At 42.3% G+C, this 27,333-nt stretch overlaps 1 protein-coding gene and 1 pseudogene across 2 annotated transcripts in view, besides 2 other annotated features; one reads left to right on the forward strand and one right to left on the reverse strand.

Moving 5' to 3' along the window:
* The window catches only part of PPP4R1L (protein phosphatase 4 regulatory subunit 1 like (pseudogene)), a 76,663-nt pseudogene extending 76,300 nt beyond the window's left edge, over positions 1 to 363 (reverse strand). Inside the window, exons 1-2 of the transcript NR_003505.3 lie at positions 343 to 363; positions 150 to 194 (exon numbers count right to left, since the gene is read on the reverse strand). The product of NR_003505.3 is annotated as a protein phosphatase 4 regulatory subunit 1 like (pseudogene) (transcript). The remainder of the gene's footprint in view (positions 1 to 149; positions 195 to 342) is intronic.
* Positions 108 to 667: a silencer, noted in NCBI's record as "silent region_13070". NCBI's record gives its function as "represses an Ori minimal core promoter by ATAC-STARR-seq in GM12878 lymphoblastoid cells {active_cell/tissue: GM12878}" and the evidence as "EXISTENCE:reporter gene assay evidence [ECO:0000049][PMID:35858748]".
* Positions 639 to 27,333, forward strand: part of RAB22A (RAB22A, member RAS oncogene family) — a 57,793-nt gene continuing 31,098 nt past the window's right edge. Inside the window, exons 1-2 of the mRNA NM_020673.3 lie at positions 639 to 936; positions 1,967 to 2,046. Coding sequence (NP_065724.1) covers positions 901 to 936; positions 1,967 to 2,046 — 116 coding nt within the window. The 5' untranslated portion in view covers positions 639 to 900. The remainder of the gene's footprint in view (positions 937 to 1,966; positions 2,047 to 27,333) is intronic.
* Positions 708 to 1,037: a silencer, noted in NCBI's record as "silent region_13071". NCBI's record gives its function as "represses an Ori minimal core promoter by ATAC-STARR-seq in GM12878 lymphoblastoid cells {active_cell/tissue: GM12878}" and the evidence as "EXISTENCE:reporter gene assay evidence [ECO:0000049][PMID:35858748]".

The following is a 27,333-nucleotide window of genomic DNA, read 5'->3' on the forward strand; positions in this document are numbered from 1 at the left end:
CACCAGTGGATCTAGGCAGTTGGGGGTCCCGCTGTTCTGGTCCCGACAAGGAGTGCCTGGCTTGAGGTTCCCCCGCCCCGCGCTTCGTGCACTCTGAATTCTTTGAGAGGGTCCCAGGGAGGGACAGGGGTGCCCCAACTCTTACTTACAGTCGTCTAAGTCATCCTGCAAGTCCACAAAGTACAGGGGGATCTCTGAAAACCAAGAAACACACAAGAAGTTACCAGGGGGCTGCGGCGAGAGGGGACGGGGTCGGGCAGGGGCCCCTCGGCCTCGCGGGGTGGTCACGGGGCGAGAGAGAGAGGGGCACCCCTGGCATCCCCCGAGCCCAGCCCCACTCACCCGCCATCTTGGGATGGGCATGGAGGCGGGACCGGCAGGGGCGGGGCCCTGCAGACAGGGGCGGGGCCCTGCAGACAGGGGCGGGGCCCTGCAGACAGGGGCGGGGCCCTGCAGACAGGGGCGGGGCCCTGCAGACAGGGGCGGGGCCCTGCAGACAGGGGCGGGGCCCTGCAGACAGGGGCGGGGCCCTGCAGACAGGGGCGGGGCCGTCGGCTTCGGGCCCCGCCCCCGATCCGCGCCGGCCGGCCGGCCCCGCCCTCTCAGCGAAGGTGGCTGCCGAGGTGGGCGGGGAGGTCAGGTGACGCGGCCGGCGTCCCAAGATGGCGGCGGCGGCGGCTCCCGGAAGGCCGCGGCGGCGTCCCGGCTGCTAAGGCGGGCCCCACGCGGCTGGCAGCGGACAGGCCGGACCTACGGCCGGAGGACGGGCGGCAGCCGCCTCTGCGCGGACCGGGGCTGGGCCGTGCGGCGGCAGCGGCGCCAGGGGATGCTCTTGCTGGGCCTGGCCTCTCCCTTCTCAACTTAGGGCGGCGGCGGGCCCGCGCCCCTGGCTCCCGGGCCATGGCGCTGAGGGAGCTCAAAGTGTGTCTGCTCGGGGTGAGTGGCGGCGGGTCCGGCCGGGAGGGCCACGGGAGGCTGGGCTGGCGGGGACCCCGGATCCCCCCTGTCCCCTCATCCCTTCCCCCCTCCCACGTCCAAGACGCTGTCTGCCAGCCCCGTGGACCCTCCCTCCAGCTCGGGAGCCGTCCCGCCCACCTCTTGCACTCTCGAAAAGGTCCTGGAGGCCGAAGGGACCCTTCCCCTTCCCCTCCCTGGAGCCCGTGGACTCTTCCCGCCCCACAAAGAGCAAACAGCCCCCCCTTGCCTCTCTATTGCATCTGGGTTAAGAGAGGTTCTTAAATAGTTTTCTCCCAACTTACCAAGGTATTAGTTGGGAGTTGGCCAAGTCTTCCAAAGTAAAACCAATAACAGGTCTTTAGGTTTTACAAGCAGCATTAGCCTACTTTGTCTCTTGGGTGTTTTTGAACTTGTGGGATACCCCTGCCACTTGTCCAAAGAGTTACTTTGCCAAGTAACTCTTCCTGTGGAGAAAAGGGGTGTTCAAATCAGGAAGCCCCAAAGACTAGTTTGAAGCTTCAGCTTCCTGTCTTGTCAGGAAAGACAAGGTGTTGGCCATTTCAAAGCCTTCTTTCTGAAATTGATGCTGTCATTCCAGAGTTTCTGCCTTAAAGATCGGCAGGAACTCCAATAACTAATCTTTATTCCCCCAAATAGGGTGGGGCTAGGATTCATCAGGGATTACTCAGAGGTAACTCAGGAGTTCAAAGTTTACTAACATATGTTAAAAAGCAAGTGGACTTGTTACTTTTTACACGAAGCAGAAACTTTGGGTCTCTCAAAAGGTCCTAATCTGTCTTAACGGCAAAAACCTCTCCCTTTTAGTACAGTTGGAATTTCCTAATTACTCTACTGAATTTTTATGACAACCGCTTTTGTGTTCCTCCGTTTATAAAATTTACACGTCTAGGGTGATTTTTCTAAAATCCTGAACTTATGCCACAAAGTAGTTTTTGGTGTCTGCCAAAAGGTAAACTTTTTCTCAGTCCCTCATCTCGTTCTCTTTCAGGATACAGGTGTAGGTAAATCGAGTATTGTGTGGCGGTTTGTGGAAGACAGTTTTGATCCAAACATCAACCCAACAATAGGGTAAGAGACTTTTATTTGATACACATCTAAAGGTGCATTGAAAATCCTTCCAAATACATAGTGTGTTACAGGTGTAGGCCCTGCGCTTTGTAGTCATTGAATTCTGAGTCGCTGGTTCGCATCATCTCTGGAAGGACTTGAAAGAGTCCAGTGAGGATCTGTGTATTTTAGGAAAATTATCTTCGGACTTGTTGGGGGTGAGAACTTCAAAATGCAAATATGAATTGGAGTTCTACTAATTATTAGAACAGACACAGAAGCTTCGGTCTATAAATATCAACAGCAATTACACCTTGAAATAAGGCAGATGAAAATAGATCCTGGTGCTATTCTTTCAGGCATATCAAGTAAAAGACATTTAAATGGTTTTTGTCCTTCCTGAAAGTAGTAGGTTGAGATCTGAACCCTTACACATTCCTGTACTGGTAGTAATAATAAATTAATAAATTCATATTGAAATGGAAGGTTTTTTCAGTTCTCTGGTTCTATGGATAAGTAAAGTTGATTGTTCATATGTTTTTGACGCTATAAGAAAACTTTTCATTTTGCAATACTAATCCTTTGACTACATAAGAAGTTGTGTTTTATAGGCTTTAATATTATGTTAACCTTATAAAACTAAATAGGTGCTGTGCTCTAGTTTTAATCATCAAACCCTCAAATGGTTTCCAGCATTTAAAGAAAAAATCTATGTTATCCATCATTAGGATAAAATTGGCCTTTGTGCTCCATGCAGATCATTCTTTGACTAATAGAGAAATATTTTACAGCCCAGGAGAGAAACTGCCATAAGATTGTCCCCTGAGAAATTATGAGCTCCTGCTGTCAGAGGTTATTTATGGATTTTTTTGAGACAGAGTTTCGCTCTTTTTGCCCAGGCTGCGGTGCAATGGCGCAATCTTGGCTCACTGCAACCTCTGCCTCCCGGGTTCAAGCGATTCTCCTGCCTCAGCCTCCTGAGTAGCTGGAATTATGGGCGCCCACCACCATGCCCAGCTAATTTTGTATTTTTAGTAGAGACAAGGTCTCACCGTGTTTGCCATGCTGGTCTCGAACTCCTAACCTCAGGTGATCTGCCCACCTCAACCTCTCAAAGTGCTGGGGTTACAGGCATGAGCTGCCACACCTCGCCTATGTGTTCAATATTTTTTGTCTGCTTTTTTTTTTTTTTTTTCACCCAGGCTGGAGTGCAGTGGCACAATCATGGCTCACTGCAGCCTCAATCTCCTGGGCTCAAGTCATCCTTCCACCTCAGGTAGCTGAGATCACAGATGCACACTATCACACCTGGCTAAATTTTGTATTTTTTAGTAGAGATAGAGTTGCACCATGTTACTCCGGCTGGTTTTCTTTTTTTTTTTTTTTTTTTTTTTTTTTTTTTTTTGAGGTGGAGTCTCGCTCTGTTGCCCAGGCTGGAGTGCAGTGGCGCGATCTTGGCTCACTGCAAGCTCCGCCTCCTGGATTCACGCCATTCTCCTGCCTCAGCCTCCCGAGTAGCTGGGACTACAGGCACCCACCACCATGCCTGGCTAATTTTTTTTTGTATTTTTAGTAGAGACGGGGTTTCATGTATTAGCCAGGATGGTCTCTCTCTCCTGACCTCGTGATCCGCCTGCCTTGGCCTCCCAAAGTGCTGAGATTACAGGCGTGAGCCACCGTGCCTGGCCGCCTATCTGCTTTTTTAAACCCTGTGGGTCTCCTACACATTTGAAGGCATGGGGATGAAATTCACCAATAAGTTTCTGCAATTAAAATGCTTTTCCGTGTCCTTTAAGAAAGAGCTGGGTATGACACATGTAAAACATGACCCCATCCTTCTCAGGGCCTGCCTGTCCCTACCTGCATGGGAAAGTGAAGTGTTGGGAAGTGACAGCAAGTACTGCTGGTGATTCAGTGAGTGATACACTTCACACTGAGTCAGAGCTGAAAACCTAAAATCCACAAGACACCCAGACACCACCTTGGCTAGAAGTGCTCTCTCAAATAAGAAGAGAGAAAAGTGAAGGGTGTAGCTTCATGCATCTTGGTGAGGCACGCCCCATCCTGAGTGTCCACTGTTCCCTTTTTGCCAGTAGCTCCCAATCTGCCAGATGCCTGTGGCTCCTGAGCTGCCTCTAGTCCACTCTCTGCACCAGGAGATTTGGCTCACATTTTCACAGGGAAAATAGCATACAAGGCTTTCTCCTCATTTTCTTTCTTCTGCCTTTTTTTGTTTCTTTTTCCTCAGTTTTAGAAGGTGGCTTCCTCCTTTGTGACCAACCCCAAACATGCCCCTGAGCTCTGGAGCCCCACCTCTTCATGAGTTACCCTGTTTCTTCCTCAGCCCTATCATCTTGTCATAGCCTGCACACAGGTTCCGAATCCACCCCACTCCACCACAAGAGCACCCATTCCCCAACCTACTGCTCAGATGGTGGAACTCCTGAAAGAGAAGTTACCACTTCCGCAACTGCTGCTCACTCTTCAGCCCTCCGTCATCTCAGCTCCTCCCTGCCATGCCACTAAAACCACCTTCCCCTGGTACCAGTTTCCATCTAATAGCCAAAGTCAAATGGCCTTTTCTTGGTAGTTTTCTTTATTCATAGAGTGCCTGCTATATGCCAGGTGCTAGACTGGGTGCTGGTGCCTAGACCAGGGGTGGGCAAACTGTGGCCTTTTTGCCCGCCTCCTGCTTTTGTAAATAAAGAGTTACTGAAACAGTCACACCCAATTATTTACTTACTGTCTTGCTGCTTTGGGGCTACAATGACCAACTTGAATAGTTGCAACTAAGCCTTGATGGGCCACAAACCCAAAAATATTTGCTATCTGGTACTTTTCAGAGCAAGTTTGCTGACCCCGATCTAGACAAAATGGACTTCTGTCCTCGTAGACCTTACCTACAAGAAGCTACATTATGACTAGTGTACAGGAAATGATTTATTCTTTTTCTTTTTTTTTTTTTGAGACTGAGTCTCTCTCTATTACCCAGGCTGGATTGTAATGACACGATCTCGGCTCACTGCAACCTCTGCCTCCCATGTTGAAGCGATTCTCCTGCCTCAGCCTCCCATATAGTTGGGACTATAGGCGCACATTTGGGAATCTGCCCGCCACAATGCCAAGCTAATTTTTGTATTTTGAGTAGAGACAGGGTTTCACCATGTTGGCCAGGCTGTTCTCAAACACCTGACCTCAGGTAATCTGCCTGCCTTGGCCTCCCAAAATGCTGGGATTACAGGCATGAGCCACTGCGACCAGCCAGAAATGATTTATTCAACCCTTTTCTGTGCTATGAAGGAGAAATATGCAGTACTATGAAAACATGTGACAGGGACCTGACCTGGGCCTGTGGGGATAACTGACTCCTACAGTGATCAGTAAAGGTGTGAAGCACCTAGCAGCACTGACATTTAAATATTGAAAGATGAATGGATTAAGTTTAAGAATCAAAGTTGGCTGTGCACGGTGGCTCACACCTGTAATCCCAGCACTTTCGGAGGCCAAGACGGGTGGATCACCTGAGGTCAGGAGTTTGAGACCAGCCTGGGCAACATGGTGAAACCCCGTCTCTACTAAAAATACAAAAATTAGCCAGATGTGATGGCACACACCTGTAATCGCAGCTACTTGGGAGGCTGAGACAGGAGAATTGCTTAAACGCGGGAGGCGGAGTTTGCAGTGAGCCGAGATCGCACCACTGCACTCCAGCCTGGGTGACAGAGCAAGACTCCATCTCAAAAAAAAAAGAAAAGAAAAAAAAGTTTTTGAAGAATGGAAGTGAAGTAGTTGGTGGTGGTGAGGGACGGTGGGTAGAAAAGAACCAGAATGGGCATGAGGGACAGCAAGGACCGTGAGGCGGGAGGGCAAGGGAGGTTGGAAGAGGGGTCAGGAGGCCGGGGTGGCTGGAGGACCCACAGCAAGAACCAGGAGAGACGGCAGGGTGGTTGGTGAGCCAGCAGGGACCAGTCCACAGGGCCCTGGAGTCCGGAGGAGGAGCCGACATCACTTACTGCAGAACACATCCCTGCTTCTCAGTTGAAGCTCCTCTGTCTTCTCTAGTTCCCTTCCTGCTTCATAACCGTGCTTTCTCACTGCAGTCTCCTGGCCTCTCATACTGATTTGATAAAAGCTGGTCTTCCCCAAGCTGTGTCCTGACTTCCCATGTTTCTCACCTCCCTCGGACACCTCACCTTCACCTGTATAATGTGACCTCCAAGCCCATGCCTCCAACCCATGATTTGCACCTAGTCTCCTACAGAACTCCGTCTTTGTTCCTCCTCCAGTCCTGCATACCTCACACGGTATCTGTGTTCTTCCCTAAGGGCTCGCCTGTGTCGTATCATGGGGAAGAGCATGGGCCTTGAAGAACCATGCTCCCTAGACTTAGGGCCTTGACTGTGTGCTAGCAGGGAGAATATCTGCGCAAGTGACAGGGTCACTCTTGTGGAGGTTGGGGCGGGGGGTCATAGCCCTGCCTACCTTATAGGGAGTTTTAGGAGAATTCCGTGACTCCATACACAGAGTGGGCATAGGAAGTGTGCAGTAAATGGTGGTGGTGTGTAGTGGTACTGTCATCATATCCCTCTTCACCCCACCCCCAGCCCAATCCCCAAACCCCATTCATATCCATTTAAGAAAGGGCCCTCTGGGACTCCTTCCCATCCTCACATCTGAGCCCTCATCCTATCTTGCCGGGGCTATTGAGCTGATTTCAGAACCAGTTATTCTGTGGCCTGGCTCTGCCACTTGGAGTCAGTTCTCCTCATTGTTGCTGTGTGAGCTTCATTAAAGACAAGTTTGATCCCCTCAGTGAAAACCACGGCAGAGGAACCCTTCCCTAGCCCGGGCCCAGCCTCATCTCTCCTGTGCTTCCTCCATGTTTTTGTTGCTCACTTCCTCCCCAGCACACACCAAGCAGCACCCGTTCCACACCTGGGTTTTTGGCACATGCTATTCTCTCTCAGGGCCCTTTCTTTTCCTTGTCTCCTTGGCAAATTCCTGATTGTCTGTGCAAACTCAGGTACATGTTAGTGGCTCTAAAAGTTGCAGACTCCAGGGTCAGCAAAGGCCAGGCAAAGAATGTAAATGGGAGATGGACCAGGTAGAAACACTGGAGGGAGGCTCTCAGGCATGAACTGCCCAGAATTCCTGCCCTCCCTGCACCAGGTCCCCTCGTTCATCTTCTTACCTCCAGGGACACTTTGCTTCGGTCTCCTTCGGCCTTGTCATCCCTTTGTATGTCCAGATCCCAGGGTTCTGAGGTAGACTCCTGCCCATTTGCATTTTGTCTCCTCTTGCTTGATGTCATGTAACTCCAGTTGCAACCACAGCAGGGATTTTCAAAGCTGAGGCTTTTTTTCAGACATGCATGTCTCTGGTCCCTCTTCCAGGATTCCAGGAACCCCCTTCCTCTACACTACACATACGCTGTAAGAAGAGGAGGCCCCCATTAAAATCACCACCGTAGTGAGCCATTGTGTAGTGAGCCTATTGTGTTCCTCAAGTGTGCTAGAGTAGAAGATTGGCTCCCTGCACGTGGGTGAGTCCTACTGCAGCAGCACCAAATTCCCTCTTAAGCTCTAGACCTGCAGATTCTGCTCACCATAGAGCCTGTGCCCACAGGTGGCCCATAGACACCTAGGGACTGTCCATGTATGTCACTGAGCTCGTGAACTCTCTCTCAGAGGCTTGGATCTCTCCTCCTCTTTCCATGGACCTTGGGGTAGAGGAAAGGACCAACTGTCCTCAGGTACTCAAGCCAGCAACCTCAGCATCCTTCTCAAATCCCTCCTAACTCACCATCTCCTCCCCTCAGCCAGTGGTAAGTCACTCGCTCCTGTCCAAGCCACCTCCCAAATATCCCTCCTTCTCTATTGCTGTTATATGACTTCTAGGGCTTCATCTTCCTTCATGGAGATGAGACATGGACTCTAGACTTTGATTAGATCACAGCTCTGCCACTTGCTAGCTAGTTAACCCTGGGCAGTTTATTTTATGTATTTATTTTTTGAGATGGAGTTTTGCTCTTGTCGCCCAGGCTGGAGTGCAGTGGCGCAATCTCGGCTCACTGCAACCTCCGCCTCCCAGGTTCAAGTGATTCTCCTGTTTCGACCTCCCGAGTAGCTGGGATTACAGGCACCCACCACCACGTCCAGCTAATTTTTGTATTATTAGTTGAGATGGGGTTTCACCATGTTAGCCAGGCTGGTCTCAAACTCCTTACCTTAGGTGATCCACCCACCTTGGCCTCCCAAAGTGCTGGGATTGCAGGCATGAGCCGCCGTGCCTGGCCAACCCTGGGCAGTTTAGTCTCTGATCTGTTTCTTCATAAGCAAGTAAGGATAATGATAGGACCAGCTCCATATTGTTAGGAGAATTCCAAGAGAGGTGTATTTAAAATGCTTAGGAAAGTACCATGGATACTAGAACTCAATAAATGGTAGTTATTATTCTTTTTTTTTTTTTTTTTTTTGAGACAGAGTCTCGCTCTGTCGCCCAGGCTGGAGTGCAGTGGCGCGATCTCGGCTCACTGCAAGCTCCGCCTCCCGGGTTCATGCCATTCTCCTGCCTCAGCCTCCCGAGTAGCTGGGACTACAGGCACCCGCCACCACGCCCAGCTAATTTTTTGTATTTTTAGTAGAGACGGGGTTTCACCATGGTCTTGATCTCCTGACCTCGTGATCCGCCTGCCTTGGCCTCCCAAAGTGCTGGGATTACAGGCGTGAACCACCACGCCTGGCCTATTATTCTTTTTTAATTTTTTATTTCTATTTTTTAGAGACAGGGTCTTGTTCTGTCACCCAGGCTGAGGGACACTTTGAGCTCAGTGCAGCATCAAACTCCTAAGCTCAAGCGATCTTCTTGGCTCAGCCTCCTGAGTAGCTAGGACAACAATAGCACGAGCAGTACGCATCACCATGCCTTGCTAATTCTTTTTATTTCTTGTAGAGATGAGGTCTCACTGCATTGCCCAGGCTGGTCTCGAACTCTTCACCTCAAGTGATCCTCCTGCCTTGGCCTCCCAAAGTGCTAGGATTAGGCATGAGCCACAGCATTTTGCCTATTCTTTTGTAAATGTTTAAATCTTTTTAAAATTTTAAAATTATTTGTATCAAAGCAATGTGTATATGGTTTTTAAAACCTGAAATAGTGTTACGAGGCTAAGTGTTGTATAACAGTGCCCTACTCTGAGCCATTCCCTGGAGGCTTACTGTTGCCTTCACATTTAGCTATTCTTTCTAATTTTTTCTCCAAATTTTTTCGTAACATGCATGCACAGGTTGAGTATCCCAAATACAAAATGCTCCAAAATCTAAAACTTTTTGAGCAACAGTATGACACTCACAGGAAATGCCCATTGGAGTATTTTGGATTTTTGGATTTGAAATGCTGAACTGATATAATGCAAATATTCCAAATTCTGAAAAATTCCTAAATCAGAAACCCTTCTTTTTTTTTTTCCAAAATCGGAAACACTTCTGGTCAGCATTTCAGATAAGGGGTACTCAGCATGTACTGGTAGTTGTTGATCCCTCTCTCCTCCCCGCCTCCTGTTTAAGGCAGTATCTACTGATTCTTTTTCTTTGGAAGATGGGAATTTTGCCATCCTCCTCCTCCCACCTCCTTGTGCACATTTGCCCTCCCTCCATCTTTCCATTAAAGTTCTCTCATTGGGAGTCAATGTGCCATAGTGTTCAGAGCCAGGCTGTCTGCCTTCACCTCCCAGCTCTAGCACTTAGTTGCTCTGTGGCATTGGACAAGTTATTTAACTTTTTTGTGCCTACATTTGCACATTTGGGAATCCTCCTTGGCATCTAATCTGTAGGGTTGTTGTGAAATTGAATTCAAACACATAAAAATTGCTTAGAATGGTGTATGTCGTATGGAAAGCATTTGTTATTTCTTAGCAAATGACAAAATTAAATTTTAAAAGGTTATTTTTTAATCTCCCACTATGGTTTTGAACTTTATATAAATGGAATTAGTATACACACACACATACATGTCATTTGTTTCTAGGATGATTAGACTGACATATGGAAAAAAAAAAGATTCTTGACCCTTACCTCACAAAGTAAACGAGTAGAAACAGATCACAGACCAAAATTTAATAAGGCTATAAAAGTTCTAGAACAACATTGGACATATAGGACACACCAAAAAACAAAGCATAAAAAGAAGCTGGAGTTGATCAAAATTAAACATTTTTGTTGAATTCAGCATTTGTTGAATTAAATCACCTTGGCACCTATGAGTTTATATATGTGTATGGGTGTATTTCTGGATTTCCTTTTCTGTCCCATTGGTCTATTCATCTGTCCTCAAGCCAGTACAATATTGTGTTCATTGCTGTAGATGTATAGAAAGTCTTGGAATCAGATAGTGTATGTCATCTAATTCTATTCTTGTTTTTCATGTCTGGCTCCTCTGGGTCTTTTGCATTTCTATATAAATTTTAGAATCACAGTGCCCAGTTCCTCAAAAGAGCCAGGTGAGATCTTGATTGGGAACACATTGAATCTCTTGACCAATTTGGGAAGAATTGTCATCTTAACACTATTCCATTTTTGATCCAGGAACATGATATATTCACCGTTAATGTAGGTCTTTTACCATTCATTCAGTCTTTTACCATTCAATTTGATGGCTGTCTCTAGGTCTTTTATAAATGCCATTATCAGGTTGAAGATGTTCCCTTCTATTCCTGAATTAATGAGATTTTTTGTCATGAATTGTGTTGAATTTTATTAGATGGTATTTTACATATTTTGAGCTGTTCATATTCTTTTTCTTTCTGTTAAAATGGTGCATTACAACCATTGAGAGTTTAATACTGAAATATTAAACCAATCTGGCACTCCTAAGATAAATTTCTCTTGGTCATTATGCATTATTATTTTTTATATATTGCTGGATTTGATTTACTAAAATTTTTTCAAGGATTTTTCTCTCCATGTAGTTTTCTGTAATAGTCTTTCTCTAGTTCTGGTGTCAGGACCTCATCAAATGAGTTGAGGAATGTCTTCTCTTCTACTTTTTTGGAAGAGTTTGTGTAGAATTGGTATTACGTCTTCCTTAAAGTTTTGGTAGAATTCACAGATGAAACCATCTGAGCAGGGAGTTTTCTTTGTCTGAAAATATGTAACTGCAGATTCAATTCCTTTAGTAAATACTGTAAAGGCTTATTCAGGCAACTATTTCTTCTTGAGTAAGTTGGTAGTTGTGTCCTTCAAGGAATTTGTTCATCGTATCTCTGTTTTTTTTAATTTATTGGCATAAAGTTGTTTATAATATCCACTTCTTATCCTTTTAATGTTTTGGGATCTGTAGCAATACCCCCCTTCCATTTTTGATAGTGCTGATTTGAGCCTTCTCACTTCTTTTTCTGAACTGTCCAGCTATAAGTTTATCAATTTTATTCGTCTTCTCAAAGAACCAGTTTTTGTTATCTGAGCATTTAGAACTGTAAATTTCCCTTTAAGTGATGGTTTAGGTGAATTTCATGGATTTTGATATGTTGTGTTTTCATTTTCATTTAGTTGCCCCTGTCATTTCTCTTGTGACTTCTTTGAGCATTGGTGTCTTAGAAATATATTTTCTAATTCCCAATTCTTTGGGTATTTTCCAGAAATTTTTCAAGTATCGATTTCTAGCTTAAATCTATTGCGGGTACAGGTGCGGTGGTTCGCACCTATAATCCTAGCACTTTGGGAGGCCAAAGCGGGTGGATCACTTGAAGTCAGGAGTTCAAGACCAGCCTGGCCAACATGGTGAAACCCTGTCTCTGCTAAAAAATACAAAAATTGGCTGGGCTCAGTGGCTCACGCCTGTAATCCCAGCACTTTGGGAGGCCGAGGCGGGTAGATCATGGGGTCAACAGATCGAGACCATCCTGGCCAACATGGTAAAACCCCGTGTCTACTAAAAATACAAAAATTAGCTGGGCGTGGTGGCACACGCCTGTAATCCCAGCTATTCAGGAGGCCGAGGCAAGAGAATCGCTTGAACCCTGGAGGCGGAGGTTGCAGTGAGCCCGAGACTGCGCCACTGCCCTCCAGCCTGGTGACAGAGCAAGACTCCATCTCAAAAAAAAAAAAAAAAATACAAAAATTAGCTGGGCATGGTGGTAGGCACCTGTAATCTCAGCTACTGGGGAGGCTGAGGCAGGAGAATTGCTTGAACCCAGGAGGTAGAGGTTGTAGTGAGCCGAGATGGCACCACTGCACTCCTGCCTGAATGACAGAGTGAGAACTCCGTGTCAAAAAAAAAAAGTCTATTGTGGTCAGAGAACATACTCAGTATTATTTCAAACCTTTTATATCTGACATTTGTTTCCTAGCCTAAGATGTGGTCTGTCTTTGTGAATGTTCCATGTGCACTAGTAAAGAATGTGCATTCCGCTACTGATGTGTGGAGTATTCTGTAAACGTTAATTAGCTCATTTAATAGCACTGCTCCTATCTCCAGTGTTTTTACTAACTTTTTTCTCTTATTTTGCAGTAAAAGAGTATTTGAAGCAGCTCTAATTAAAGATTTGTCTATTTCTGTTTTTAATCAGGTTTTGCTTCATGTTTCGAAGCTTTCGTTATTGAGTGTATATGCATGTAGCATTGTTTTTATATATTTTTATATAACATACATGTCATGTATTATATATATTATATGTATGAATTATATATCTCTTAAATGTATCTGTGTTATATATACATAAACAGAAACAAGGTCTTGCTCCATCTGTCAGGCTAGAGTGCAGTGGTGCAGTCACAGCTCACTGCAGCCTCAACTTCCCAGACTCAAGTGATCCTCCTACCTCAGCCTCCTGAATAATAGGACCACAGGTGTACTCACCACATCTGGCTAATTTTTTTCATTTTTTGTAGAGCTGGGGTCACTTTGCTGCCCAGGCTGGTCTCAAACCCCTGGGCTCAAGCCATCCTCCTGCTGTGGCTTCACAAAGGGCTGGGATGACAGGCATGAGCCACCTCACCGGGCGTCATTGTTAGATTTTCTTGATGACCCTTTTACAAACGTCATGAAATGTCTCTCTTTTGTCCCTGGTAAGAGTGCCGTTCTGAATTCTACTTGGTCTGATATTAATTTAAGCTCTTTGGCATTCTATTTGATTATCTCTTCCCATGCATTTACATTTAACCTATTTATAGCTGTATTTTTCAAGTGCCTTTCTTGTAGATAGAATTATAGGCTCTGCTTTTATATCTAATCTGACAGTCTCTGCCTTTTAATTATTTAGACCTCCACGGTCTAGTACAGTTGCTACTAGCCACATGTTAAAATTAAAAATTCAAATCTTCAGTCATATTAGCTACATTTCAATCCTCATAACAAATTTCTGTTGTATAGCACTGATTTACATCATTTTTATTTATTATGACTGTCAATATTATTTGGTTTAAAACTACCATCTTGCTTTATTTTTCTCTTGGCCCCATGTTAATGATTCCATTGTATTTCCACTATTATCTTGTTTACCTCTTTGTTTTTATTATTTTAATGATTTGCTAGAATTTATAATATCCTTCTTTGATATATCAGTCTGTGTTCAAATAATAACAGTTTCACATATAAGAACCTCGCAAGAGCGTCCTTCTGTTTCCCTTCTCCCAGGCTTTGTGCTGCTGTGGTCATATTTTACTTCTACATGTTATGAAATCACAACACACTTATTTTTTTTGCATTAAATGACCTTTCAAAGAGACCATTAGTCTTTTTTTCTATCCTTGTGCCATTGTCACGATTTCTAATTTTTTTTCATACTAAGTCTTACTGTCCAGTGGTGTGAATTTTCTGTGTTGTTCTTCAGCAATGTCTTGGCTGTTCTTGACCTGTTTCAATATAAACATTAAAATCATCTTGTCCTTTTTCACTCACACCAACACGCTAATCCCTACTGTGTTTTTGATTGGCCTTGTGTTGAATATATAAATTGATCTGGAGAGAAATGGTATCTTTATAATACTGAATCTTCTAATATATGAACATAGATTACTCTTTCATATATATTAGGATTCTTGAGTTTCTCTCAGTGTTTTTTTTCTACTTCTCTGTGTTATGGACTTGGACATCTTTCCAAGGGGTTTGATATGTTTAGTGCAGTTTTATGCTGTTAATATGGTAAATGGCATTGTTTTGAAATTTTCATTTTCTTTTTATTTGTTGATTATATACAGAAATACGACTTTTAAAAATTGAAGTTATATCCAGTAACCTTGCTGAATTTATTCACTAATTTATAGAGCTTATCTCTATACATTATTTTTTTGTGTTCTCTGTATACTTTTATATCACCTGGGAATTAGTTTTTTTAATCTTTATTCTAATTCTTAAACATTTTACTTATTCTATGAGATCAGGTAGGATCTCTAGTTCAATGTTCAATAGAAATGGTAATACTAGGTATTATCCTAATCTTAGGGGGTAGCTTCTACCATCATACCATTATGTTTGCTATAGGTTTTTTGTACATATTCCTATCACATTACAAACGTGCCCTTTTTTTTTTCTTTTTTTTTCTTTTTTTTTTTCTTTTAAGAGACATGGTGTCACTATGTTGTTCGGGATAGATTTGAACACCTGGGCTCAAGTGATCCTCCTGCCTCAACCTCCAGAGTAGCTGGGAGTACTGTAGATTGACACCACCATGCCCAGCAGAAGCACCTTTATTTTGTTTGCTGGGATCTTTGATTTTTTTTTTAACATAATGTTGACTTTATCAAAATATTTTTCTACATGTATTTGGCTAATCACATAATTATACTCTTTTATGTTAATGTGGTAAATTATATCATTAAATTTTCATGGAATAAATACACTTAGGTCAGGACATGTTATTTTTATTAAATACATATCACTGGCTTTAATTAGTTATTATTTTTTAGAATTTTTATGTATGTTTATAAATGGAGACTATCATATAAATACTTTTTTATAATGTGCATGTCAGATTTGGCATCAGTGCTGTGCTTGCCTGATAAAACTGGTTGAGAAACTTCTGTGGAAGAGACTGTATAAAATTGCTCTTATTCCTTCCTTAAGTGATGAGTAAAATTCATCAGTGTTGCCATCTGGGCTTCAAGTTCTTCTTGTATGATAGTCTGATTAGAGAGTCAGTTTCTTTCACAGTTGTAAGGTTGTTGATACTCAGATTTTCTATTTCTCTTGTATTGGTTTTAATACATTGGGGTTTTTTTTTTTAAGGATTTTGACTCTTTCATATACGTTTTCCAATTTATTGACATAAAGATGTTAAGATTCTATACGGAGACCCCGTTTTCATTTCTGATATTAGTTTTGCCTTTGATCAACTCTATGATATGTCTCTTCCCTGTTTCACTAATTTCTACTCCCATCTTTATTATTTTTGTCCTTATTCAATATGCTGTTCCTTTTCTAACTTCTTGAGATAGACAGTTGTCACTGATTTTCAGTCCTCCTCGGTTGTATTCCTTGTATCTTAAAACTTTAGGCCAGGCACAGTGGCTCACGCCTGTAATCCCAGCACTTTGGGAGGCCGAGGCGGGCAGATCATGAGGTCAAGAGATCAAGACCATCCTGGCCAACATTGTGAAACCCCGTGTCTACTAAAAATACAAAAATTAGCTGGGCATGGGGGCACATGCCTGTAGTCCCAGCTACTCAGGAGGCTGAGGCAGGAGAATCGCTTGAACCGGGGAGTCGGAGGTTGCAGTGAGCCGAGATCGCACCACTGCTCTCCAGCCTGGTGACAGAGCGAGACTCCGTCTCAAAAAAAAAAAAAAAAAAAAAAACTGTACGCCAGGCCCGGTGGCTCACACCTGTAATCCCAGCACTTTGGGAGGCCAAGGCGGGCAGATCACGAGGGTCAGGAGATCAAGACCATCCTGGCCAACATGGTGAAACCCCGTCTCTACTAAAAATACAAAAATTAGCTGGGTGTGGTGGTGCGTGCGCCTGTAGTCCCAGCTACTCAGGAGGCTGAGGCAGGAGAATCGCTTAAACCTGGGAGTCGGAGGTTGCAGTGAGCCGAGATTACACCACTGCACTCCAGCCTGGTGACAGAGCGAGACTCCATCTCAAAAAAAAAAAAAAAACTTTAGGCTAGGCGCAGTGGCTCACACCTGTAATCCCAGCACTTTGGAAGGCCCAGGTGGGCGGATCACAAGGTCAGGAGATCAAGGCCATCCTGGCCAACATGGTGAAACCCCGTCTCTACCAAAAATACAAAAATTAGCTGGGTGTGGTGGTACATGCCTGTAATCCCAGCTACTGGGGAGGCTGAGGCAGGAGAATCACTTGAATCTGGGAGGCGGAGGTTGCAGTGAGCCAAGATGGCGCCACTGCACTGCAGCCTGGGTGAGAGAGTGAGACTCCGTCTCAAAAAAAAAACAAAAAACTTGACTGTGGCTTTTGCTGGATCCAACAAGTTTTTTTTATAGATCATTTCATCATCATTCAGTTCAGAATATTTTCCAGTTTCTATTTTGATTTTATCTTTGATCTAAATGCCTTTTCTATGTATGTCTCTCGGTTTCCAAACAGGGATATCTTCTAGTTAACTTTTTGTTAATGATTATTGACATAATTGTTTTGAGGTGAGAGAACATATTTTGTATGATATAAATCCTTGGAAGTCTGGTACTGTTTGCTATGTGGATCAGCGTATAGTCCATCCTGGTAAATGTTCCATGTTTATTTGAAAAGGTTGTATTCTCTACAGCTGTTAGTGCTGTGTTCTCTGAATGGAATTAGGTCGAGTTTACTAATCATGTTCATTTTTTCTGTTGTCTTTGCTGGGTTTTTGGCCTACCTGCCTTTATAAGTTACTAAGAGGAATGAGTTAAATCTGTCACTATGGTTGTAAATTTATTTCTCCTTTTCATTCTATCACTTTTGCTTTATTTTGCACCTACATTCCATACATACAGATTTAGAATTTAATATCTTACTGATAAAGCAAACCTTGTAACATTGTGAAATATATTCTTTAGTTCTAGGAATGTGTTTTGCCTTGTCAGCGTTTGCATGGTGGATCTTTTTCCTGTTTTGTTTTTTTTTAACTTTCTGTATGTTTATATTTAAGGTAGGTCTCTTGTAAGCAGCTTATGATTTGATTTTGATAACGTAGATTCCATATAAGTACCATCCACCTTAATCAAAATGCAGAAATTTGCATCACCTCAGAAAGTTCCCTCTGTGAATCATACTCTCCATAAGCACCACCATTGCTTATGGGGAGTTGATTTTAATCAATATAGATAAATTTCCCTATTCTTGAATTTTACATAAATGCAATAACACAGTATATAATCTTTGGTGTCTTGATTTCTTTTTCATGAAATAATGTTTTGCGGATTTAACCTTGTTGCATGTCCCAGAGTTTTTTGTTTGTTTGTTTTGTTTTGTTTTTTATTAAACTGAGGAGTGATATTCTCTTATATGGATAGACCATAATTTGTCTATTCCTCCCCCTAGTTGAGGACATCCAAGTTCCAGTTTTTGACTATTATGAATATACATGCTATGAACATTCTTTTAAGGTTTTTTTGTGGACATAGGTTTTCATTTCCTTTGGGAACTAGAGTAGAATTGATAGTTGGTAGGGTAGATGCTTCTATAACTTAATATGGAGTCTTGTAGACTCCTTAGTATTATTTACATACACAATCATGTTGTATGAAAATAAAGGCTGACTTCTTCCTTTCCTTCTAGTTTTTTCCATGCCTTGTTGCACAGGCTAGGACCTCTGTTACCATACTGAATAAGTGGTGAGAGCCAACATCCTTACCTTTTCCCAATGTTAGGGGGAAAACATTCAGTATTGTACCAGTAAGTTTGATGTTAGTTATAGGTTGCCAATTTTTAGGATGAGGAAGTTTTCTTGTGTTTCTGGTTTGCTGAGAGTTTTTATCAAGAATGGGTCTTGTGGCCGGGCACAGTCGCTTATACCTGTAATCCTAACACTCTGGAAGGCCAATGTGGGAGGAACGCTTGAGACCAGTGTGGGCAATATAGTGAGACCCTGTCTCCAAAAAAACAAAAAAATTGAATAGGTCTTGAATTTTGTCTTGATATTTTTTGCATCTATTTAGATTATTTTGTTTTTCTCTTATGTTAATATGGTGGGTTACAGTATTAAATATTGCTAAGTAACAAATCGTCCCAGTATTTACCTGCCTGAAACAACAAACATTTGTTATCTCACATTTTCTGTGTATCAGGAATCCAAGTGGCCTAGCTCATATGGTTCTGTCCCACTCTGATGGTGTTGCAATCAAGATGTCAGGCAGGGCTGCAGTTATCTGAAGGATCCTCTTCCAGCAAGGCTCACTCACATGGCTGTTGGCTGGAGGCCTCAGTTCCACAGTTCTTTGCCCTTTGAGCCTCTCCATAGGGCTGCTTGAGTGTCCTCATAACAAAGTAGCTAACTTTCCACAGAGCAAATGATTCAAGAGAAAGAGCAAGGAAGAATTTGCAGTGCCTTTCGTGACCTACTTTTGGGAGTCATCTACCATGGCTTCTGTTCAGAAGGGAGTTACTAAACCAATCCCAAACTCAAGGGAGTAGGGAATAACCTCCATGCTTGAAAGTAAGAGTATCCAAAAAAAAGAGTGAATTACATTAATTGAATTTCAAAAGTTTAACTTATTTTATAGCATTATCTGTATCTAATCATGAGTAAACATCAGACAAACTCACATTGATAAACGTTTGACAAAACAACTGGCTTACAATCTCCAAAAGTCTCAAGGTCTAAAAAGTCAAAGAGAGACTGAGAAACTGATCCAGATAGAAGGAAACTATAAAGAGTCATAACAATTAAACGCAACATGTGCTTTTGAACTAGATGTTTTGCCAAAGGGATATTATCAGGACAATTGGCAGAACGCAAATGGGTTCTGAGGAATAGATGGTAGTAATATGTCAATGTTAAGTTCACAGTTTTGATTATCTTACTCTGCTTTACATAAGAAAATAATCTTGATTGTAATTAATCTACACTAACATTCAAAGGCAATAGGCAACTCACTATCAAATGGGTAAATCCTATACCTGCAACTTTTCTCAACTATTTGCGAAAAAAATGTTATATATATTTTTTGAGACAAGGTCTCACTTTGTTGCCCAGGCTGGAGTGCAGTGGTGTGATCACAGCTCACTGCAGTCACAACCCCCCAGGCTCAAGCGATCCTCCCACCTCAGCCTCCCAAGTAGCTAAGACTACAGGTGCACACCAACACACATGGCTAAATTTTTTTTATTTTTTGTAGAGACAGGGTCTGGCTATGTTGCCCAGGCTGGTCTCAAACTCCTGGACTCAAGCAATCCTCCTGTCTTGGCCTCTCAGATTGAATTACAGGTGTGAACCAGTGTCCAGCTACATTCTTTATATTGTACTTGCAACTTTTCTGAAGTTGGAGATTATTTCAAATTTTTAAAATGATGGCTATTTTACTGTATTTCCCGCCGCCCCCCACAATGTCATTTAAAGACAACTGGCTATTTGAGGTTTAAAAAAAGATGATAACATTGTGTTGTGGATGCCCTCTTCACAGGATCTAGGATTTCCCAAACCAGCCCTAGCTCTCTTTTCCTCCCTACTTAGGTAGTCCTTACTTTAGTCAGGCTTTGATACACTGCTCTGGGCACCATGGCTCCCTTCCACCTTCCATACTCAAGAATACCTACCTGCTTGGCCTACCTACTAGCAACTCTTGGGCTAAATAATTGTTCAAAAAAAAGAACAGGAAGAAAGGAGGAAGAGCAAAAGTAGTTTTATTTTACACACATATTAGCATTACCATTGCTCTTCATTCCTTCCTGTAGAATTGAGTTTTCATCTGATGACATTTACCGATGGTCTAAAGAATTTCTTTGAGCATTTCATGTATTCAGGGCTGGTGACAAGATCGCCTCGGTATTTGTTTACCTAGGGTAATGTCTGCATTGCATATTCCCTTTTTTTTTTTTTTTGAGGCAGAGCCTCATTCTGTCACCCAGGCTGGAGTGCAGTGGCGCTATCTCGGCTCACTGCAAGCTCCCCGTCCTGGGTTCACACTGTTCTCCTGCCTCAGCCTCCTGAGTAGCTGGGATTACAGGCGCCTGCCACCATGCCCAGCTAATTTTTTGTATTTTCAGTAGAGACGGGGTTTCACCATGTTAGCCAGGATGGTCTCGATCTCCTGACCTCGTGATCTGCCTGCCTCAGCATCCCAAAGTGCTGGGATTACAGGCATGAGCCACGGCACCTGGCTGCATACTCACTTTTGAGGTATGTTTTTGCTAGATGTAGATTTCAGATGTTTTTTCTTTCAGCACTTTACTGTGTCATTCTGTTTTATCCTGGCCTTCGTTGTTTTTGTTGAGTGGCGTCATCCTCCTTCATATTGTTACCCTATATGTAATGCCTTTTCATTCTCTGGCTGCTCTTAAGACCTATTCTTTATCTTTTGTTTTCAGTAATTTACTTTAATATGCTAAATGTGTAATATACTCTGGGTTCACTGCGTTTCTTAGATCTGAAATTTGATTAGTTTTACAAAATTTGGGACATTTGCATCCAAATTGTTTTAAGTATCTGTTTTGCACCATTCTCTTGGTCCTCTTATGGGATTCCAATTGTATGTATGTTAAACTGCTAGATATTATACCACAGGCCATGGAGGCTCTGAGTTTGTGTCCTTTTCCCTACCCCCATCTTTTTCTCTCTATTCTTAACAATCACATAATTTCTCTTGATCTGTCTTTATCTTAGTTGATTCCTCTACAGTGTCTCCAAATCTGTTGGCCCTCTTTAGTCATGGGTTTCACATCCAGGGGTTCCACCAACCACAGATTGAAAGTATCTGGGGGGGAAGAGTCTGTATATGTACTAAACATGTACTAAACATATATACAGACTTTTTTTTCTTGTCATTATTCCCTAAATGATAAAGCAACTATTTACTTAGCTTTTACAGTGTATTAGGTATTGTAAGTAATCTAGAGATGACTTAAAGTATATGAGAGGATACATGTAGGTTATATGCAAATGCTATATCATTTTATACAACAGTTGTGAGTATTTGCAAATTTTTATTCGTGGGGGGTCCTGAAACCAGTCCCCTGCGGATACTGAAGGATGACTATTCTGTTCAGTGTGTCTAATATTTTTCCCCCAGTATTTAGATACTGTCCTTAATTCTAGAATTTTCATTTGGTTCTTTTATATATTTTACATGCATAGTTCCCCCATCTGCTCACTCAATATGACTTTCTTTAAGTCTAGATTATATTTATAGTAGCTGTTTTTAACATCTGTATCTGCTCATTCCAGCGTCTGGATCATCTCAGGATCTGTTACATCTACTTTTTTTTTTCTCTTGACCTTGGGTCACATTTTCTTGGATTATCTAGTAGTTTTTTATATTGTACTGGACACTGCAGAAGATACGCTGCAAAGATTTTAGATTTTCGTATCTTCCACTGAAGAGTGCTGTTTTGTTTTAACAGAATGTTAAATTATGGGCTAATCATCTTGAACTTGTGGAAGCTTCATCTTAACACTTTGTTCAGACGGTTGTGTTGGGATGTCGCCTTATGACAAATCCTTATTCTTGGGACACTATCTTTGCTTCTGAGATATGGCCTACCTCATTATCATTGAAGGTGTCCAGTGAGCCTCTGGATTGGCAGGATTTAAACTCCCAACTTTTCTCCCCTACAGTTGGAAACAACTGAAATCTCTGCTCAGCTCTTTTTTTGGCCTTCCAGCTGTTGCTGTCCATTGGACTCCTTGGCATCTCCCCAGTTGCATGTGCAATTATAGGAATCAGCTGTGGCTCTGAGAGGAGTCTGTGTATGGATTTGCAGCTCCTTCTTTTCTAGAACATCCCCTCTCTATTTCCAGCCACACTGGCAGCCCTGAACCTCATCCTCTGTCACTTCTAGCCAACGCTGGTGGTTTGTCCTCACCTTGATTTTTTATCACTTTCTTCCTCTCTTACTGCATTTCAGCCACATGGCCCTTCTTTTCAAACATTTGAAAAGAAATACAGAGACCCAACTCAAGGTCTCTGTATTTACTGTTTCCTCTTTTTGAAATGTTCTCCCCCCTCTAAATATTGGAATGGTTGGATCTTCTTCCCTTTTAGGATTCCTCCAAGTTTTTGCTATCATCCTATCTCAAATTGCCACTCCAGTCACTATCACCACACAGTGTTTTTTTTAATCTTCGTAGTAAATATTAAAATCTATAATCATCTATTTGTTTATTTATTGTCAGTTCCTGCCACTTGATTATAAGCTGTATGAGAAGAGGAACCGTATCTGAAATGACCACAGACAGCTGTATCCTCAGCCCACAATAGACGCTCAGTAAAAAATTATTATTGAAGATTTTCATAATTATATACATTTATTGTCTATTTAACCAATCTCTTATTGACCGTTCTCTTATCAGCTTTTACCCCCATTATTCCATTGAAACACCATTGTTGTAGAGTTTGACTAAATATAAACCACAAATATAATTCGCTTTTTATTGTATTTGCCCTCTAGAAGTATTTGGCATTATCTTGACTTTTTTTTTTAATCCTTTGGTTTCCTGGGATACGGTTCTGGTTCTCCTTTCTACCTCTTGGGGCTTCCTCCTTCTTGTGTTTCTTGGCTTCAATGTCCACCCCTAAAATGTCACAACAGAATTTCTTGCATAGTCTGTGTCTCTTCCTAGGTGATTTCATTCACACTCAGCACTTTGATGGCCACCTTTCTCTAGTGACTCCAGGTGACGGGTATTTAAACAGAGACACCTGGGACTCCACATATCTACCACTGAACTCCTCTTTCTCCTCGGTCATCCCCAAGTACCTTGTTCTGCCTTGCCATAAGGGAGCATTTAACAAGTCCTTCGTACAACCACTGTAAACAACAACTTAGCAAAAATTATCAAATGTAAGTAGTAATGATAACGATGGGCATATTATATCCTTTAAATGTAATAACTCAGTCCTTTAAACAATCCACTATGCTTTCCAACTCATAAAAAGTCACAAGAGACCATCATTCTCACCCAAACAGCCAAAACAAGCAAGATAAGTTTTTAAAAGCCCATTAGGCAGCTGAGCACACAAAGAAACCTAAATAAACTAAACTTCAATAAGTGATAGACCATTCAGAAGAGAGCCGTAGCTGCTCTCATCCTCTATTGAAACAGAGGGACAGGGAAACTTTGCCATAGATGGGAACAGTTGGGCTCTTAACTGTGGAGACTTGAAGTGGGGCAGGTGAGCTCAGAGCAAACTCTTCACAGGAATTTCTACTTTTGCTGGGCATAGGGTGACAGCAGCCAAGGTGCAAGAATCCATGGGTGGAGCTGCAAAGCAAAGGAATCTCTTAAAAATCTTGATCTGATTCACTGACCCTCTCCTCTGCTGTGTCCAGTCATCTTATAAAATGTCCATATAAAGTCAGATAAGTAGAAAGTATCCAAACTGAAATGCAAAGAGAAGAGAAAGATATTTTTAAAAGACATCCAAAATCTGTAAGGTGCTGTCAGTTTCACAATTGGCTTCCCTGAAAGAAAGGAGAAGGACAAAGGAAAAGAATAATTCAAGAGATAAAAGGTAGGAGCTTTCCACAATTGATGGAAGTGATCAATGTATAAATCTGATAATTTCTGCAAACTCGTCAGGATAAATACAAAACAAACCACAACTCCACAGTCTAGGTATATCATAGTCAAACTGCTGATAACCGGAAATAAAGAGCAGATCTTAAAAGCAATCAGAAGAGGGATAAAAAACATGTTATATACAGGAGGACAGTGATAATAATTATCTCTGACTTTTCAGCACAAACAGTGGAGGTCAGAGTATAATGATACAGCATCTTTAACATAGTTTAAAAATATATATATATAGGCGGGGTGTGGTGGCTCACACCTGTGATCCCAGTACTTCTGGAGGCCAAGGCAAGTGGATCACCTGAGGTCAGGAGTTCAAGACCCAGCCTGGCCAATATGGTAAAACCCTGTCTCTACTAAAAATACAAAAATTAGCAGGGTGTGGTGGCGGGTACGTGTAATGCCAGCTACTTGGGAGGCTGAGGCAGGAGAACCACTTGAACCCAGGAGGCGGAGGTTGCAGTGAGCAAGATCATGCCATTGCACTCCAGCCTGGGCGACAGAGTGAGACTCCATCATAAATAAATAAATAAATAAATAAATAAATAAATCCCGCCAGCTAATTCTGTATCCAGCAATAATTAATTAATTAAACCTGCCAACTAATCTGTATCCAGCAAAAACTTTCTTCAAAAATAAAGGTGAATGGAGACATTTTCAGACAAAAGCTGAGTTTGTCTACAGTAGGCCCATATCAAGAAATATTAACAGGAGCCTATTTCATCCAGCTAAAAACACTATTGGCTTTAAATATATATGTAACAATTATATTGTTTGTTTGTAACATATGAAGAAGTTAAGTAACAGGCAACAGGAGCACAATGGATGGGAGGGAAATATATGAATATGTGGAATTCAGCTGGCAGAGTCTTACATTGTTCATGAAATAGTATAATATTTGGAAGTAGATTGAAATTTAAAGATGCATACTGTAATCTCTAGAGAAACTATTGAAAAAATAGAGACACACAGAGAGGTATAGCTGAAAATCCAACACAAGACATAAAATCGAGGGCCCAGTGCCATGGCTCACACTTATAATCCCAGTGCTTTGGGAGGCCAAGTTAAGGGATGAATGCTGGAGGCCAGACGTTCAAGACCAGCTTGGGTGGCATAGCGAGACCCTGTCTCTACAAGAGAATGAAAAAATTAGCTGGATTTTATGAGCCACACCTTTAGTCCTAGCTACTTGGGAGACTGAGGTGGGAGGATTGCTTGAGCCCAGGAGTTCAAGGCTACTGTGAACCATTATTGTGCCATTACACTTCTTTAAAAAAAAATTTTTTTTTGGCCAGGCTCAGTGGCTCACACCTGTAATCGCAGCACTTTGGGAGGCCGAGGCAGGTGGATCACCTGAGGTCAGGAGTTTGAGACCACCCTGGCCAACATGGTGAAACCGCGTCTCTACTAAAAACACAAAAAAACATTAGCTGGGTGTGGTGGCGGGTGCCTGTAATCCCAACTACTTGGGAGGCTGAGGCATGAGAATCGCTCGAACCTGGGAGGTGGAGATTGCAGTAAGCAGAGGTGGCACCACTGTACTGCAGCCTGGGCGACAAGAGCGAAAGTCCATCTCAAAAAAAAAAAAAATTCTTTTTTTTAAGAAGCTGAATACTGCCGTCCATATTTGATCTATCCAAAGAAGATAGAAAAAGAAGAGCAGAGAAACAAATACCAAAATGGGAAACATTAAACCTGCCATATAAATAATTATATTGACTGTAAGTTTTCTTATTTTGAGCTTTTTTTTTTCTTTTTTTTAAATTACAGACTTCATGTTTTGCCTGGGATAGGGACAGTAGTTAACTGGAAATGGGCATGAGGAAACCTTCTGGTCATTGGAGATGTCATGCGTCTTATTCTGAGCAGTAGTTACACAAGAATATTTTTGATGGACTCCGTGATATAAAATATATCACAATGTCTGTGAATATAATGTCTGACAATTTTACTATGTTTACCAACTTTGTACTTTTTTTTTTTTTTTTGGCCTTATTGTATTGGCTAGACCCTGTAGTCCAGTGTTGAATCAAAATGTATGAGTAGACATCCATGCCCTGTTCTTAGGGAATAGCTAAAATTAAAAGAGTAACCAAATGTTGGCAAGAATATGGAATAACTAGAACTCCATAAATTTCTAATAAAAGTATAAATGGTTTAACTACTTTGGAAGACTCTTTTTATGTTTATAAAAACACTTGTACAAAAATGTTTATAGCAGGCTTGTTCATTATAGCCAAAAACTTGAAACAACTTAAATCTCTCAACATAAGAATGGGCAAAGTGCGATATAGTCACGCAATTGAATACCATCTGGCAATAAAAAAACACTGTAGATGAATTTCAAAACCATTGTTAAATGAAAGAAGCTAGACACAATAGAGTACCTATTTTATGATTCCATTTATTTGAAATCCAAGGACAGTTAACCCTCATCTCTGAAGTGGAAGTCAGAAACGGCTTGTGTGGAATGGGGACACTCTTAGTATGCTGTTATGCCGTCACCTCATTCCCTTTGCCTCAGCAGTTCTGCTTCTAGGTCTTTGTCGTACAGATAAACTCACATCATTTCTAAACCAATTAAAAATTCTCCAAGGTTGGCACTTGCAGCATTGTTGATGAGTGGGGGTCTGATTATATCCATCATGGTGCAGGTACTCAATATAATACAGGAAAAAAGCCATCTTCAGAAAACTTGATATACTTAGGTTGGATGATCTCCTAGGTATAGGATAGAGAAAAAAAAATCAAAGGTATGTAGTATGTATTGCCATCTGTGTTTAAAAATAAAAGAGCATATGGGGAAACTGTATATGCATGTGCTTTATCTAAACCTAATGTATTTCTGAAAGGAGGTCTAAGAAACTGCTAAGATCAAACTTCCAGGGAGAGGAATTCAATGGCTGGAAAAGGAAGGTGGGAGATGTTTGGGTCTATCCTTGTTTTGTACGTTTTGAATATTGAAACATATGACTGTATTACCTATTTTAAAAATTAAAGAATACAGTTACAGTTTGGAAATAACTGAAATAGTTCATCACACACAGAGTTGGCTGAACTGACAGAAGCCTGCTACATAGACTTGCTGAGAACTCTCCCTTTCCCTCACCGCAGTTGATACCTTGTGGATTTTGTATGTTAGTCTTAAGTTGTCCCTTTTGTCCCTTCCTGCCCATCCTATCTTTGTCCAGGATCATTTCCATGGGCCGCTTAGCTTGCTTCCCCTCCTTGCTGTTTGTTTTCTTTGTTTGTTTGTTTGTTTGTTTTTGAGACAGTCTCTCGCTCTGTCGCCCAGGGTGGAGTGCAGTGGCACGATCTCAGCTCACTGCAACCTCCACCTCCTGGGTTCAAGCGATTCTCCTGCCTCAGCCTCCTGAGTAGCTGGAATTATAGGCGCCCACCACGACGCCCAGCTAATTTTTTTGTATTTTTAGTAGAGATGGGGTTTCACCATGTTGGCCAGGCTGGTCTCGTACTCCTGACCTCAAGTGATCCACTCGCCTTGGCCTTCCAAAGTGCTGGGATTACGGGTATGAGCCACGGCGCCCGGCCGCTGGTTTTTTTTCAATTATCCAGCCCAAAATGTCAGCCTTGCTGTTCTTTTTGACCCACTTCCCTTCGTCTTGTCTGTGCCCTCACAGGGCTTACTG

Source organism: Homo sapiens, chromosome 20, assembly GCF_000001405.40.
Source record: "Homo sapiens chromosome 20, GRCh38.p14 Primary Assembly".
NCBI classification, from domain to species: Eukaryota; Metazoa; Chordata; class Mammalia; order Primates; family Hominidae; genus Homo; species Homo sapiens.